This window comes from Homo sapiens, chromosome 11 (genome assembly GCF_000001405.40).
Source record: "Homo sapiens chromosome 11, GRCh38.p14 Primary Assembly".
NCBI classification, from domain to species: domain Eukaryota; kingdom Metazoa; phylum Chordata; class Mammalia; order Primates; family Hominidae; genus Homo; species Homo sapiens.
Genome location: NC_000011.10, coordinates 41,212,177 through 41,228,094, shown reverse-complemented (window position 1 = coordinate 41,228,094; position 15,918 = coordinate 41,212,177). Strand labels below are relative to the sequence as shown.

Sequence of the window (15,918 nt, the reverse complement as noted above, 5' to 3'; positions counted from 1 at the left end):
TGCTACTAATTTCTTGGTAGTTTCAGGCAAGGTATTTTACAGGGCAAAAGCAAGAGAAATTAATGTGGTAAATTGGAGGAAGAAGTTCAGTGTGAATACATTCAAATGCCCTATTTGGTTAGAGAGATTAGAAATATTATTGATCAACTGTTAAGTATACATGTTAAAAATGTATAAATGTCCACAAACAGAAAAGAAAATGAATGTAAAATATTCAGACAGAAAAAGGAAGGGAAGACAGGAATAAAGAAGACTGTATCAATCCAATAGTAGAAAAACTTTGGAATGTAAAGGATACATACCAACTAAAGAATAATGGCTTTCACTCTGAGGAGAAAGGTAGAAAAATTGGGAAGGAATGCAAAGTGGACTTCAATTATTTAAACTATATCAATCTGGAAAGAAAAAAGTTCGGAGGTTAATAAAGCAAAGTCCAGGGTAGAGACACGTGGCTATAGTCCCAGCTACTTGGGAGGCTGAGATGGGAGGATCCCTTGAGTCTAGGAGTTTGAGGCTGCAGTGAGCCATGATTGTGCCACTGCATCCTGGGTCACAGAGCAAGACCCTGTCTCTGAAAAGTAAAAATAAAAGCAAAATGTAAATATTTGTTAAATCTTTGAGCAGGTGTGTTTTGTTGGTTGCAACCGTTTGGTATATTTCTGTACTTTTGGAATATGTAATTCTCATAATAACATGTTAAAAAATATACATTGGTATCAGACAAAACTGGATTCTTACCTCATATATTGTACTTACTCTATAACTTAGGTAAAGATTCCATTTCTTTAGGTTCCGTCTGCTTGATCTTAAATGTATATAATATTGCAATATTCCCTACCTTTTTAGGGTTATTTTAACTATTTGAACTATACTGATGACATAGTACTTCGGGAAAATATGTGTCCAATATATGGTAAGTGGAAGGAATAAGGAAGCAGCAACATGAAACCAAAAGAGAGAAACATTTTTCAAAAGGGGAAGGAGGTGTCTTTTGTTTCACATGCTGGTGACAGTTAAATTACTAGTCTTGCCCATTATCTTTAAATGTTAGGAGGTTATTGATGAATTTCACTTGAGCAGTCTGGCCAGAAAGATGCAAGCAGAGGACTGTGGTTGTGGGTTGAAAGGAAGGAAGGACAAATAACAAATGCTTGTACTGTGTTGTTTGAAATAAGGATACAAGGAAAAATCATGTACGTATTTATAGATGGATAAGAGAAAACAGGTGATTTTAAAATGGGAGACTGCAGATGTGGACTATTTTAAGTAGTTTGATTGTGGAGGGAAATAGGTCAGTGACTACACGTAGAGAGAAGGGTGTGTGTGTGTGTGTGTGTGTGTGTGTGTGTGTGTAATGGTAAGGATTTTAGCATGTGAACAGGCTGAATGGACCAGTAGCAAGGGGAGAGGTGAAAATACAGGAACAAAGGTAGAGCACTGATGGATCAAGGTCTTAGAAAAGACAGGAGGAGTTGGAATCAAGAACACAGATGAAAGGGTTGACTGTAAGCAAAAGAAAAAGCACTTGTTCTGAGATTAGAAAGAAGTTGAACTCTGAGTACTGACAGTGATAAGTGTCTATGTGTGAAGACAGGACATTGGGGGAGTTTACGTCTCTTAGCTTCAGATTTATCTGTAAAAGGTAGATGGCAGTGTCCTCTACTGAGAAAGAATGTGTTATTTTGGTTATCTTTGTTGTTGCTGTTTGCTTGCTTCTTTCCTGTCAAGAGTGAGGACTCAGGCATTGAAATACTCCATGAGGGATGTTTCTTTTGATGGAAAAATTGGATTCAGTCCCAATTCTCCTTTTCTAAAGAAGAGATTTTTTCTATGAACGATCATTGTTTGGTACTTCAAATCACTACACTCATCTCAGAAAGTCATGAAAGGTCCATAGAGGGGAGTGACATATAAGAGTTACTGGCCAAGGCTTTTGGGAAATAAACAGGAACCAAGACTCCACATTTCCATGTCCTCTGCAAAATCAGCTTTCCAAAAATAGACTCGTACAAGCTATAGTCACAGTTGAATGTCATGTTTCTATTATTGCAATGACATAAAATCATTAAACCACTGCTAGTAGTAAAAGCAGTCATGTCTAGTAATAGAACTGCTCTTTGTCCATTCAAAGAGAATTGCATTTTAAATGACACATGGTGAGCTATGTCCTGTTGAGGTGAGTGGCATGGACTGAGGTTTGACTTCCACCACAATTCATTAAATATCCTCCTGTGATAGTTCTCTGCAGTACCCAGGCTCTCAGTTCTGAATAGTGGTGTCAAACCGGCTGGCATGTCATAGGCTTAAGACACAGAAAAGTTTCCAATTTGTTGGGGACCATCTGTTAAATTTTTTGTTTCCTATATTTAAGTTAACTGAAAAAAGATCAAATATTCTTTTTTACCTTACTTTAAAAAATGTTTATATATGATAGAAACAAAAAAATATATATAAATAAAATAAAGACAGGGTCTTACTATGTTGCCCAGGCTAGTCTCGAACTCCTGGGCTCAAGCAATCCTCTCACCTTGGCCTCCCAAAGTGCTGGGATTACAGGTGTGAGCCATTGGGCCTGGCCCAAATATTCTTAATATGGAGACTCAATAAAACTCCCTTAGTCTCTCAAGATTTTTTAAAATATTTTTTTCTAATTTTTGTGGGCATATAGAAGGTATATATTTTTATTGGGTACATGAGATGTTTTGATACAGGCATGCAATGTGTAATAATCACATCATGGAAAATGGGGTATCCACCTTCTCAAGGATTTATCCTTTGTGTTACAAACAATCCAGTTTGTAACTCTTTTAGTTATTTTAAAATATACAGTTAAATTATTATGGACTATAGTCACCCTGTTGTGCTATCAAATACTAGGCCATATTCATTCATTCTAATTTTTTGTACCCATTAACCATCCCCATGTTCTTCCTACCCCCGTACATCTTCCTCCTACCCGGCCTCCCCAACCTCTGGTAACCATCCTTCTACTCTCTATCCTCATGTGTTCAAAATGTTTTGATTTGTAGATCCCACAGATAAATGAGAACGTGTGATGTTTGTCTTTCTGTGTTTGGCTTATTTCAGTTAACATAATATCCTCCAGTTCCATCCATGTTGTTGCAAATTACTGAATCTCATTCTTTTTATGGCTGAATAGTACTCCATTGCATATAAGTACCACATTTTCTTTATCTATTCATCTGTTGATGGACACTTAGGGTGCTTCCTAATCTTGGCTATTGTAAACAGAGCTGTATCAAGTTTCCTTTTCTAGACTACTCTTCACATCATGTACACCATACAAGAAGAATTTTTGAATACCTTATATGATTCAGGCACATCATCTCAGTTAATCCCACATAGAATCCAATGAGAGAATTATAGCCATAGGCTAATGAGTACGTTGACATTTCAAGATTGAATACAGTATTTCCAAAACCAACTGGGATACAAATTCATGTCTGAATTAAACAAATGTGATTAAAGGAGTCATTGGATCAAATGTCTTTTCTAAGTTCTAAACCTATTAAGAAGGGGACAAGGAAGTTTTGACTTCCTTAGGAATTCAAATATCACCTTTATTATCAGTAAGACTGTATTGATAAATATACTCTCTATATGAGGCCAAAACACACTGTACATTAGGCCAATATTATCACCCTAAAACTGGCCTCTTGGATGAGAATTGTAGTTACAGAGCTAATAAATTGCATCAAGAAGTGAAGCCTACCTCTCACCTTTCATGAGTGAATGGTATAGATGCATTAGTCCCGTAAAATAAGTCATTTCTCTTATTGGCAATGAAATAGTGAGGGGTGCAGGGATTGGTTTCTATCAAATACCTTCAAGGGAGGTAGAGGTTGGTCAGTAAAAAGAACAGATGATTCCCTCTAAACGTGGCTTTTTCCACGGCAGGTAATTCTCTCTTATTAATTTAATCCACTTAAGTGTTTTATCTTCTCTTTTACATTATGAGCTTCTTAAGTCACAAAAGTATTGATTAAACCAGGACAAAAAACCAGGCAGCTAACACACTAGGAATTATGAAAAAGCATTATATTGGTGGATTTCACTGTGATAGGAAACAGAGTATAATTTTCCATTGTACTTTGGGGCAGCACACAGAGATGGAATAAATCAAGCACTGGCCTCCAGAAGGCTTTAAGAAACTAATTGGGAAAGCAACAGCTCTTCCCCTGGCATGATTAAGAGATGATATCCATCAACTACGTGTATGGCACAGTTTTGTCTCCAAGTCCTGTTCTGCCAACTGGACATCCAATAGTTTGGGGAACACAAGCCCATTCTCTGGCAGAGTCAATGGGTTCATGTCTAAGCCTCAGAGTTCCAGCTCTTTAACATGCTTGAACATGGCTTAATCTGCCATCTCAGCCTTTACTAGAATTGGTTGCCTTAAGACATTTTTTTGTAGCTATTTTTCCAGGCAATCTGCAGGCAGAAAGCTCCTTCTTTGGGAGACTAGCATGTGAGCATGTAGGGAGTAAGTTTTGGACAAGACAATTTGTACTTCTCCATATTGACCTGATTATATCTTATCTCACCATCATACTTAGCACAGTGTCTTGCAATATGTAACTGTTGAATAAAGGAGATAATGTATTGATGGATGAATGAATGAATAAATAATTGTGTAGAGAAAACTATAGCCACTAAGACTGTCTTTTCTTCATGCCATTCCTCCAGAGTTCTTATTTTCAAGAAGGTGCAAACAGATACCTAGGCACCAATTAGAAGTCTGCTTCTCAGTAAAAGTCTAAGTTCCTTTTATGTGCTAAATTTCTCTTCTCTGATTTGAAACTCAGAACCTTTCAGCCATCAAATAAACCTCACATCAACGATGGAGTCATAGCCTATAGAACAATGACTCTCTATGTCTCTTAATGAAAGACCTCAGGTTTATTTTTTATTTCTTTTTGAAATATGATAAAATCCCCTATATGTATTGAAAAATCCCCTTGAATTAAATAATAAATTGTAATCATAGCTAGCGTTTTTTAATGTTCACTCTGTGCCAGTGCTCTGATAAATACTTGACATAGATTATCTCATTTAATCCTTACAGAAACCAAATGAAGTGTTTACTGTCATTATCCGTATTTGATGAAGAGGATACTGAGGCTCAAAGAGAATTAATAATTTGTTCAAGACCGTCTAATGTGGAGTAATCAAGAGTGAATGCCCTGAAAGTACACACCCCAGCCTGGACCAGCATTCTTTTTTTTTTTTTTTTTTTTTTTTTTGAGAGGAAAAACTACAGAGACAGAGTAGCAGCAGGTGAGCCACTTTCTCCATACCAGTTGTACAAGGATCTGGTGGGCAAATGTCTGTCATGGGAGAGGCTCCAGTCTTGAGATGTGGGGCTTATAAGCTGCCTGGTTACAGAAGCATGAGACCTTCCCCTGGGATAGATTGGGGCCAAGGTCAAAACTTTGTTGTTACAGTTCTGTGATGTACAAGAATTGTGACTTCTATCCCTGATCTTCCACCGCAGCATTTATAACAGAGAGCTCAGTAACCCATCCCTTGGTGAGATCGGAGTCCAGGGCCCAAGTCTCATGTTTGTTGTCATATGGTGTTGGGGATTCTTGGCCCTCAGCCCTGTCCATTTCATTGGCATCCTATCAGATGTCTGACTTGAGTACTCAGTTGTTGCCAGTTTTTCTATCTTCTGCATTTTAGTTTTCAAATGAGCCTGCTCTTTGGGGGAGAGGAAGTGTCAGCTGTCTGTATGGAAAGTCAGCCTGCTGGGTCTCCAGCCCAGGCAGAGTAACCCTTGCCTATCACCAGCTGTTAAGTGATAGAACCTTTATTCAAGTGCCACAGTATGATGCCAGAGTGCCCAGTCTTAAGTGATTTTCAATAAGAAGAGGATTTAACCAACCATATGTACATTTCAAGTAGAATCGTAATCTACAGTACCTACTTTTGCTATTGTGTGTTTTTGTCTCTTGTTGCTAGTTGATCATTTGAAATACTTATATATCAAGCTCCTATTTCTAGCCCATGTAATTCACCATTCTTCTACTCTCTGCTCCCTTAGAAGGTGAGATTTTATTTGGTTGTGAAACATCCAAAGATATGTTGTTAGCCATGAGATTGATATGCTTATTCACTGGGATGTGTGTTGGAGTGGATAGTTCTTAAGATGTAGCGTGCCCTAGAAGAAGAAATAAGTACAAATTCAGGCTTTGCATTCTGTCCTCTGTGTGGGTATTTATAGGAGATTCTAAAACTAGAACTAATGATGTTAGGAATTTGTCTCTATGCCAGTTGAGCTCTATGGTTTCTTGTGTGGAATTCTATTTGTATATCTTGCAAGTATAAATTTATTCTTTCCAATATTTCCCATTTGAAATGTATAGATTTATAAACTTTAACAATATAGAATGTCTTTATCCAGTCAATCATTGATGGGCATTTAGGTTGATTCCATATCTTTACTATTGTAAATAGTGATACAATGAACTTATTCCTGCATATGTCTTTATAATAGAATGATTTATACTCCTTTGGGTATATAGCTAGTAATGGGATTGCTGGGTCAAATGGTATTTATGTCTTTATGTCTTTGAGGAATTGCCACACTGTCTTCCACAATGGCTAAACTAATTTACACTCCCATAAACAGTGATAAGATTTTCTTTTTCTCTACAACCTTGCCAGCATCTGCTATTTTTTGACTTTGTAATAATAGCCATTCTGACTGGTGTTAAATGGTATCTCATCGTGTTTTGATTTTCATTTCTCTAATAATCAGTGATATTGAGGTTTTTTTTTTTTTTCATATGATGGTTGGCCGCACATATGTCTTCTTTTGAAAAGTGTCTGTTCATGTCCTTTGCCCACTTTTTTATGAGGTTGTTTTTTGTAAATTTGTTTGGGCACATTAGGGGAACAACACACACTGGGTCCTTTCGGAAGGTGGAGGGTCGGAAGAGGAAGCAGATCAGAAAAAATAACTAATGGGTACTAGGCTTAATACCTGGGTGACAAAATAATTTGTACCACAAACCTCCATTACACAAGTTTACCTATGTAACAAACTTACATTTGTACCCCCGAACTTAAAATAAAAGTTAAGTAAATAAATAAATACAGAATATCTTGAACCAAGAGAAATCATCAGTAATTTAATAGTAGTAACATCTTTAACTCAAGTTCACAAAGTCAGAGACGTAATCTGTTTTATTCATTTCTATATATTCCCAGTGCATAGACACTGGCCTAGAACAAAGTAGTTGTTAAATGAATTCTTGTTATTTGAATAAATAAACCAATATATGACTTCTGATGAAAAATTACCCATTAAATCATCTCAATTTTCTTGGGATATCAACATATCTGCTTTTAGTTATGTTTATTAAATTAGATAAATATGAGATGGGAAAAGTGATCATCTTTTCTTGTGTTTCCACACAAATCATTTTTTTCTCAGTGAAATAGACAATATATTCTAAGTAAAATTCTTTAAAATCTTGTGATTGGAAGTACTTTCAGACGTGTAGAATTGTGTGTGTGTGTGTGTGTGTGTGTGTGTATGTCTGTGTGTTTAATATTGGAGGATAATTATTTGAAAAAAAAAAAGCTGTTTTCTAGAGATTATCCACTATTTTGGATAACACCCCCCCGCCAAAAAAAGTTGAATGTTGCACAGCAGATAACCAGAGAGATTCCTATTTTCATAACTCTCCCTTGGAGAGGGGTATTTCATATTGTTTAAGAGCATGAGCCCTTCCTTACTAGTTGTATGTCCTTGAAAAACTTCCTTCTTATTCTTATGTCTTGTTTCCTCATTGACAGAAAGAAAATAATAATAGTTTTCACTTTGGTATAACAATCAGTGAGTTAGTACATGTAAAGCCATGTAGAGCATGCCTGGTACAAAGTAAGCTCTCAAGAAACATTATTATTACTATTATTCCTGTCTCCTAATGCATAAAAAACCTCACCTTCCTCAGGCAATTTATACAAGTCAGGAATAGTATAAACTCTGATTTTAACTTTCATATTTAGTGATCTTAGAGAGTCTTCAAGGGGCTCCCTACTAGCCTTTTAATTTTAAAAAATTCCAGGTCAAATAATACAAAAACACATATAGGTCCCTATGATGCCTGTTCTGTCTTACTGAAACTGGGCTTTCTGGAATCCCTTCAATTATCCTTCATGTGTCTTCAGATTCTGAGAATGCTCAGGCTTCCTTTGTAGTATTTTTAAAACTGGTACTAGCCTCTGTCTGGCATGTGCAGTAGATGAGGGAACATTCTACTTTTTCTGAATAAAATTATTTATTCAGAATTGCATCTCTGAAACTTCATCTGGTTCATCCCCTGCACACAAACGTGATTGAGCAGAGGGAGCTGAATAAGGTCAACACCGGGTGATTTTCCCAACTAAAATTTCTAATCTATTGTTGTAGGCACAGGGCTAAACCACAGTGTGTGATGGTCCTGCTAGAGAAAAAAGAAAAAGTGCCATAGCAAATAAATGGAAATTCCTTCAGGCGATAGAAAATGTGGCAGCTCTAAATACAGCTACACCTTTATGTAGGAACACACAGAAACACTTGACTGGACTTCAAGAATGTGTGAAGATTTCTTCAGTTTTAGTTGAAGGCAGTCTTCCGATATGGGCTTCTGTAAACTTCCTCTCTTACTCTTTTTGTTTTCCTGGCCCTTATGCATTTGACTTTCTTCCCAATGACCCGCTCTCTGACTTTCTTTAGATAATTTGAAAATACTGACTGTGCAGATGCCAAGGGTGAAAAGTATCTTCATCCTCACTGAACTGCACATAGCAACTCTCTTTTCTCATCCCCAGAGGAATTTTTGTAATTTTGTTGGGAGTACTTGTGTCTGTACTATAATGTCTACAGAAAAGAATAATGAACGAATCTACCCATAATTAACTACATTTTAATGGGCTTCGATAAGAAGTCAGCTCACCCCAGTCTCAAAAATGAAAACAAAACAAAGAAAATTTGACTTAATAAGTGACATATGCGGCCGGGCGCGGTGGCTCAAGCCTGTAATCCCAGCACTTTGGGAGGCCGAGGTGGGCGGATCATGAGGTCAGGAGATTGAGACCATCCTGGCTAACACAGTGAAACCCCGTCTCTACTAAAAACACACACAAAAATTTAGCCGGGCGTGGTGGCAGGCGCCTGTAGTCCCAGCTACTCTGGAGGCTGAGGCAGGAGAATGGCGTGAATTCAGGAGGCGGAGCTTGCTGTGAGCCGAGATCGCAACACTGCACTCCAGTCTGGGCGACACAGCAAGACTCCGTCTCAAAAAAAAAAAAAAAAAAAAAATGACATATGCATATGCATATGAAAGTTAAGATGATTTGGGGTAATAGTAATATGTTGAAAACAACATAGAATCTATTATTATTCTTTAAACTTTTTTGACCAATGGCTTTCTGAGCATATAGCTAAAGAACTCTATCCTTAGAAAATACACATAAAGTAGACATCTACAAAATTTTTTGAAGATAATTTTCACAGATATATTGTATGAAGCCTATTGCTATATTCTACATTAATATATAAAATTCACATTAAAAGCCCTGCCTTAGCTCAGGCGGTTGCCAGACTGTTGCATCACAGGGTCAGGTGCAGTGAGTGCATCACAGGTGTGCTGAGATTATTACCTATTTCTGTCTTTAAGGCAGCAAGGCAGAATCAAAGGTAACTAGAATGGAGGGGTTTGTTTCTTCTCATTGTAAAAAAGCAGGAAAGTTTTCCCCAGTAAACCATAGATATGTGATCACTTTCTATATGATTCTTAAGTAAAGTAAGTTGAACATACTGACAAGGATTGTTCACTTATTTTTGCAGTGGATATTTATTGACTGTCTCCTCTTAACTATGCACTATACACTGTGTTAGATATGGGTGAAGTAACAAAGGTGACTAAAGTTTTTTTTTTTTTTTGGTGACCTTGAGGAAGTCATAGTCTGTAAGGGAAAACACATACCCAAATAATTAAGTATAATACCACATGCCGTATGTGTAGACCTATGGAAGCAAAGAGGAGAGTAGGCCTCATTTTATTTGGATGAGAACACATATCACCAAAATAACATTTAATTAAACTTTGCAGGCTAAGTGGAATTCACTAAGAAGATTATGTGTGCTAGGATTATTTTTCCTATAGATATTTTTCTACAACATTTTTAATGGTTGCATACTATTCTATTGTGTGAACATAATGCAATTTAGTTTTTAAATTTTTTTAATGCAGGGTAGAAGTGCAATATTGCTACATCAATTTATTGCATTGTAATGAAGTCAGGGTCTTTAACATATTCATCACAGAAGCAATGCACATTGCAGCCAACAAGCAACCTCCCATCATCCACCCCCACCATCTCCCAACACAATTAATTTAATCAAGTCTTTTTCATCACTAGTTCATTCCAATTTTTGGCACTATAGCCAATATTAAGATTCTTATAGCTAAGTCATAGTACATGTTCTTTATTCTATTTTTAGAATACAATTCTAAACAAAATTACTGGTTCAAAGGACCACACCATTTTTAAAGCCTAAATACTTTTTCTCAAGTTAGCATTATTGAAAAGCAGGGATTTGTGTTCAGATAGACTTCAGTATAAAATATAAACATTTATTTTCTTGTTTGACCTTGGGCAAGTTGCTTAAGGGGTATTCCTCTTGGTTTCTTTATTTTTAAAGTATTCAGATAATATGTATATTGAAGTCCTGCTTTAAAAATTATAGTGGAGATTAATATTTATTGAAGCTTCTATGTATTTTGATTTGACAATAGTTACCAGATAGTTGCTAAATACTAGAAAGAAAATTCAAGTGTTCCATTTTAAGTTAGTGTCATTAAGTAATTTCTAACAGAACATGGGCACTGTCTGAAGAACTACGCGGTGTTGTTATAGTCCATTCATTATATGGCCAAAATTTTGGAAATCCAAACTCACTGTCCATATAAATCATTTTAAAATTGATGGGCTGTGTTCAGAAATTTGGCCTGAAAAATAGGGATGTTGTAGTATCAGATGAAGAGATAAAAATCTGGAATAAAATTTGTATTCTTCCACTCATGACCCGTTTCTTTTAATCTCTCAGAGCCTTGGTCATATCATCTAAAAAAAAGAGCATAAGTTTGAATATTCTTTCAGCTTTAAAGAATCAAGTGAGCAATATAAATTAAAAACATAGATAGGTATCTAAATTGTTTTTCTTTTATAGTTTATTATTTTTAGTTTTTGAATTCACTCTGAATCTTTTTACTTATTGAGAAAGAGGAGATCATGCAAAATCTACACTTTTCTCATACTTGTCAGTGTATTATATTTTTCACACTATATTGATGTGGGGCATTAACTTGAAGAATCTGGATTTATTTTTGAACTCCTGTCAGCACTCCATAATTAACATTGCCCAGAAGAGAAATGCTATTTTGCCTCCTGCATCATCAACACAACTGTCAGCAAATAAGGAAGGCATCGTCTTTACCATTGTTGCTGCTATGTATGAAGCAGAAAAGAACAGCTGGATTTTCACACACTGGGCTGTTAGAAAAGCTAGCAGTTAGTGAAATCTATTTTCAGTTTCTACCTACCTTTTTTTTTTTTTTTACTTAAGAATGTAATTAAAGAGAAAAATGTCATTTTTATCCTGAAGTCTATTTTTAAACTCTTAATTTGGGACATTTACTGTTCTCAAAGTTGTTTATCTCAATGTCGTTTTTCTTTCTTGACATTAAAATGCAAAGTTAATGTTGATTGCATAGCGGTCATTTCACTTATCCACTCACCGCTCTATTGTGTCTGTGTCCTAAATTCCCTGTAATGTTTCAGATCTTTCTCTGTTCTTCAATTTTGTTTAAATTTACAATGGTGATGGGTAAATGAGCCTGTTTTAAAATGAACAGTTGCAACAGTTGCAAGGACTAAGTCTTGCTGCAATAAAAGGGCAATGTCATAGCTCAGACATTTGCTTCTTTAAGAAGGTAAAATATCTGTAGCCTTCACAGTTACAGTGTGCCAAAATTAGGTAATGTAAGAAACCTTTATTAAATAAGGTTTTGTGTTTGTGTATGTGTGTGCTTTGTTTCAACTGCATACGAGGTAGGCTTGAGAACGAAGCAGCCACTTTGGAAAGCAGTTCAGCAGTTCCTCAAAATGTTAAATGTAGAGTTAGCATAGGCCAGGCATTCTACTCCTAAGCATATGTCCCCCAAAATGAAAACATAGGTCCACACAAAAACTTATACATAAATGTTTATGGCAGCATCATTTATAATAGCCCCAAAGTGGAAATAACTCAAATTTCTATCGAGAGATGAATGGATATACAAAATATGATACATCTATACAATAGAAAGTACTGATACAGGCTATAGCATGGATCAAATGTAAAAATATTATACTCAGTGAAAGAAGCCAGAGACAAAAGGCTACATATTATTATTCCATTTGTAAGAAATGCCAAACATAGGTAAATTCACAGAAATAAAAAAGTAGATTAGTGGTTTTCAGGGTTAGGAGCCAAGGAGATTGTGGAAACATCGTCAATGTGGATGGAATTTTTTTTTTTTTTTTTTTTTTTGAGATGGAATTGCACTCTGTCACCCAGGCTGGAGTGCAGTGGTATGATCTCAGCTCACTGCAACCTTCTGCTCATGGGTTCAAGCAATTCTTGTGCCTCAGCCTCCCGAGTAGCTGGGATCACAGGCGTGCACCACCACGTCCAGCTACTTTTTGTATTTTTAGTAGAGGCAGGGTTTCACCATGTTGGCCAGGCTGGTCTTGAATTTATGACCTCAGGTGATCCACCCACCTTGGCCTCCCAACGTGCTGGGGTTACAGACGTGAGCCACTACTCCTGGCCAGTTTTTTAAAAAATTTTTTTCAATTGATAGTATGTTCTAAAATTAGATATGGGTGATTATTGCACAATTCTGTAAAGTTACTAAAAACCACTGAACTTTACACTTAGAAAGTGTGATTTTTTTGCATATAAATTATATCTCAGTAAACCTGTTATACAAAATGTGATATATATATATATATATATATATACATGAATAAAAAATAGAAATTGAGAATGAACATAGGAAATGAAGGGGAAAATTATGACTAAACAATTCATCATAAGCTCTTCATGTTAAACATTCTTTATAAACATTTCTATTTTTAATGACTTCAGAGTATATTTTAGCTAAGTGAACCACAATTTACTTAAGCATTTATTTATATATACATATATATAATATATATATACACACACACATATATATACACACATATATATATGTGTGTATATATATATATATATTTTATTTTTGAGATGGAGTCTGGCTCTGTCGCCCAGGCTGGAGTGCAGTGGCGTGATCTCGGCTCACTGCAAGCTCCTCCTCCTGGGTTTAAGCCATTCTCCTGCCTCAGCCTGCCGAGTAGCTGGGACTACAGGCGCCCGCCACCACGCCCGGCTAATTTTTTTTTTTTTTTTTTTTTTTTTGTATTTTTAGTAGAGACGGGGTTTCACGGTGTTAGCCAGGTTAGTCTCGATCTCCTGACCTCGTGATCCACCCGCCTTGGCCTCCCAAAATGCTAGGATTACAGGCGTGAGCCATCGCGCCTGCATTTATATTTTTAAGTGTAGGTAGTTGCCAGCCATTGTTATACGTTTTTTCTCTTTTTCATTTTTATTGTTTAAGAACCAGGCAAGGTGTTTGTGGCCATTGACACACATCTGATCAGTTTTCTAGGACCTGGAAGTGTACTTCAGGGAGTCACTAGCACCTGGCAGCCTGGCAACAGTAGAGGTTATTTTCTTCTCACTTGGGTCACTGCTGTTGTCATAACTCATTCTGAGTAGACTGCCAATGGTGATTGAAGATGTCCTTCATATTCTTCTTATTTGGAGGGAAGTGTGGCTGTCCATATTTTTCTGATTGAAAACAGATTTCAAGGCTTCTCCTAGCTAAATATGGCAGGCAAGTATTTCACAGACTTGCAGATGACAAATTCTGACAGACCAGAATAGGAAAATGGGAAAACAGCTTAGTTCAAAAGCTTCATGTGTCTTTTTACTAATGAAAGATTTAGTACTTTAAAGGATATTATAATGAGATCAAATCAAATTTATAGCAGAATGAACAAATGAGAATAACAAATGGAGGTCAAAATGTGAGTTCTATATTGCACCAGTTGGATCTGCAAGGAAGGAACTTAATGTAAGTTGATGTGTGATTGTTCCAGTTTTAAAAGAATGTAATTCAGTCTATGTCTGATTTCATTAAGGATGTTGGGATAGCCCTGGAGTAATTCAAAGAGAAGATAAATGTAAAGGGTGCTGAGTGTGTGTATGGAAGTGCATATTTACCCTGCACTTTATCTGTTATAACATGCATGGATCTATCAACTCTCTAACATGTGATGTCTGTTATGATTTAATCTTGTATAAGTTTGAGAGCTAGAAACTTTCCTGCTCAAAAAACGTAATGTGATCACTCTAAATTTGTAGCACTAAATCTTTTGCTGTGACCCATTCACTATGTGGTAGAGAAGATTCAACGAGTAAACCTAGACATACAGTTATATTACCTGTTGGTTAGTGATGGATGCTTAAAGTACATTAAAACGAGTTTGCTAACACTTTTTCTGTCACTTTTCATCTCTTCAGCCCCACAGCTACTTATAAAAGGAAGACGTTTGTCTGAGAAAAGGTCCCCAGGTGGGCATTAATGTCCATTTCTCCGCATAATTTTACACAAAATAAATATGATCATAGGACTTGTTATATTATCACATCATTTCATGGAGTAATTAACATATACCCCATAATAAACCTATTAGAAATGTTTATACTGTTTAGTTTATAACATGTGGGAATTGACATTCAGAGTGATTTTAACTTTTTAGTAACCAAAGTATAAACACAAGAACTGAGAAAGGAAGTAAGAAAATCAAATAACTTTCATGATGCCCCTATTCTAGCACTATTGTAGAAACTTCTAATATGTTAGCATATTTAATCCTCCAAAAATCATAGGAGGCAAACTTTATTACCTTTATTACACAGAGAAGGAAACAAAAGGTCCCAGGTCATAAACCTACTTCTTAGCAGAACAAAGATTGAATTCAGTGTAACAACTTTTTAAAGCCTTTACGATTTACCTTAGCCATGTGTTTCAATGTGTTAGGTACATGGAATCAACCTAAATGCCCATCAGTAATAGACTAGATGAAGAAAATGTGGCACATATATACACCATGGAATACTATGCAGCCATGAAAAGGAATGAGATCATGTCCTTTGCAGGGACATAAATGGAGCTCAATATCATGTCCTTTGCAGGGACATAAGTGGAGCTTCGATAAATGGAAGCTATTATTCTCAGCAAAGTACTGCAGGGACAGGAAACCAAACACTGGATGTTCTCACTTATAAGTGGGAGCTGAATGGTGAGAACACATGGACACACTGGGGCCTGTTGAGGGGAGGGGTGGGAAGAAGGAGAACATCAGAAAGACTAGCTAATGTATGCTGAGCTTAATACCTAAGCGATGGATTGATCTGTGCAGCAAACCACCATGGCACATGCCATGGCACATGTTTACCTATGTAACAAACCTGCACATCATGCACATGTACCCCTGAACTTAAAAACAGAAGTTGAAGCAAAAAGCAATTTTAAAAGGTGTTGTGTTTAAGCATAATCAGATTATTGGAAAGATATTCAGCTTTACCTTTTGTTATGAAAGTTGAATCATCACTGTCTTGCAGCCTTGATTAATTTCTTAACACAGTAGCTATCTTTACATTTTATTTTCTTTACACGTATTTTCAAAACATTATATAGCTCACTGGGAAAGCCCAAGATAAAAATAATATTGATTAGGAAAAAAAGTTGT

The 15,918-nt window shown here is 36.2% G+C and overlaps 1 protein-coding gene across 17 annotated transcripts in view; it reads left to right on the top strand.

Annotated features, from left to right (window-relative positions):
- The window catches only part of LRRC4C (leucine rich repeat containing 4C), a 1,345,454-nt gene that overhangs the window by 231,558 nt on the left and 1,097,978 nt on the right, over positions 1 to 15,918 (top strand). For 11 of the 17 annotated variants that reach the window (XM_017018079.3, XM_017018070.3, XM_047427349.1 and 8 more), the window contains one exon: positions 5,087 to 5,298. The exons of the other annotated variants lie outside the window; for them this stretch is intronic. The gene's annotated coding sequence lies outside the window, so the exon portion shown is untranslated. The remainder of the gene's footprint in view (positions 1 to 5,086; positions 5,299 to 15,918) is intronic. 17 annotated transcript variants of the gene reach the window in all.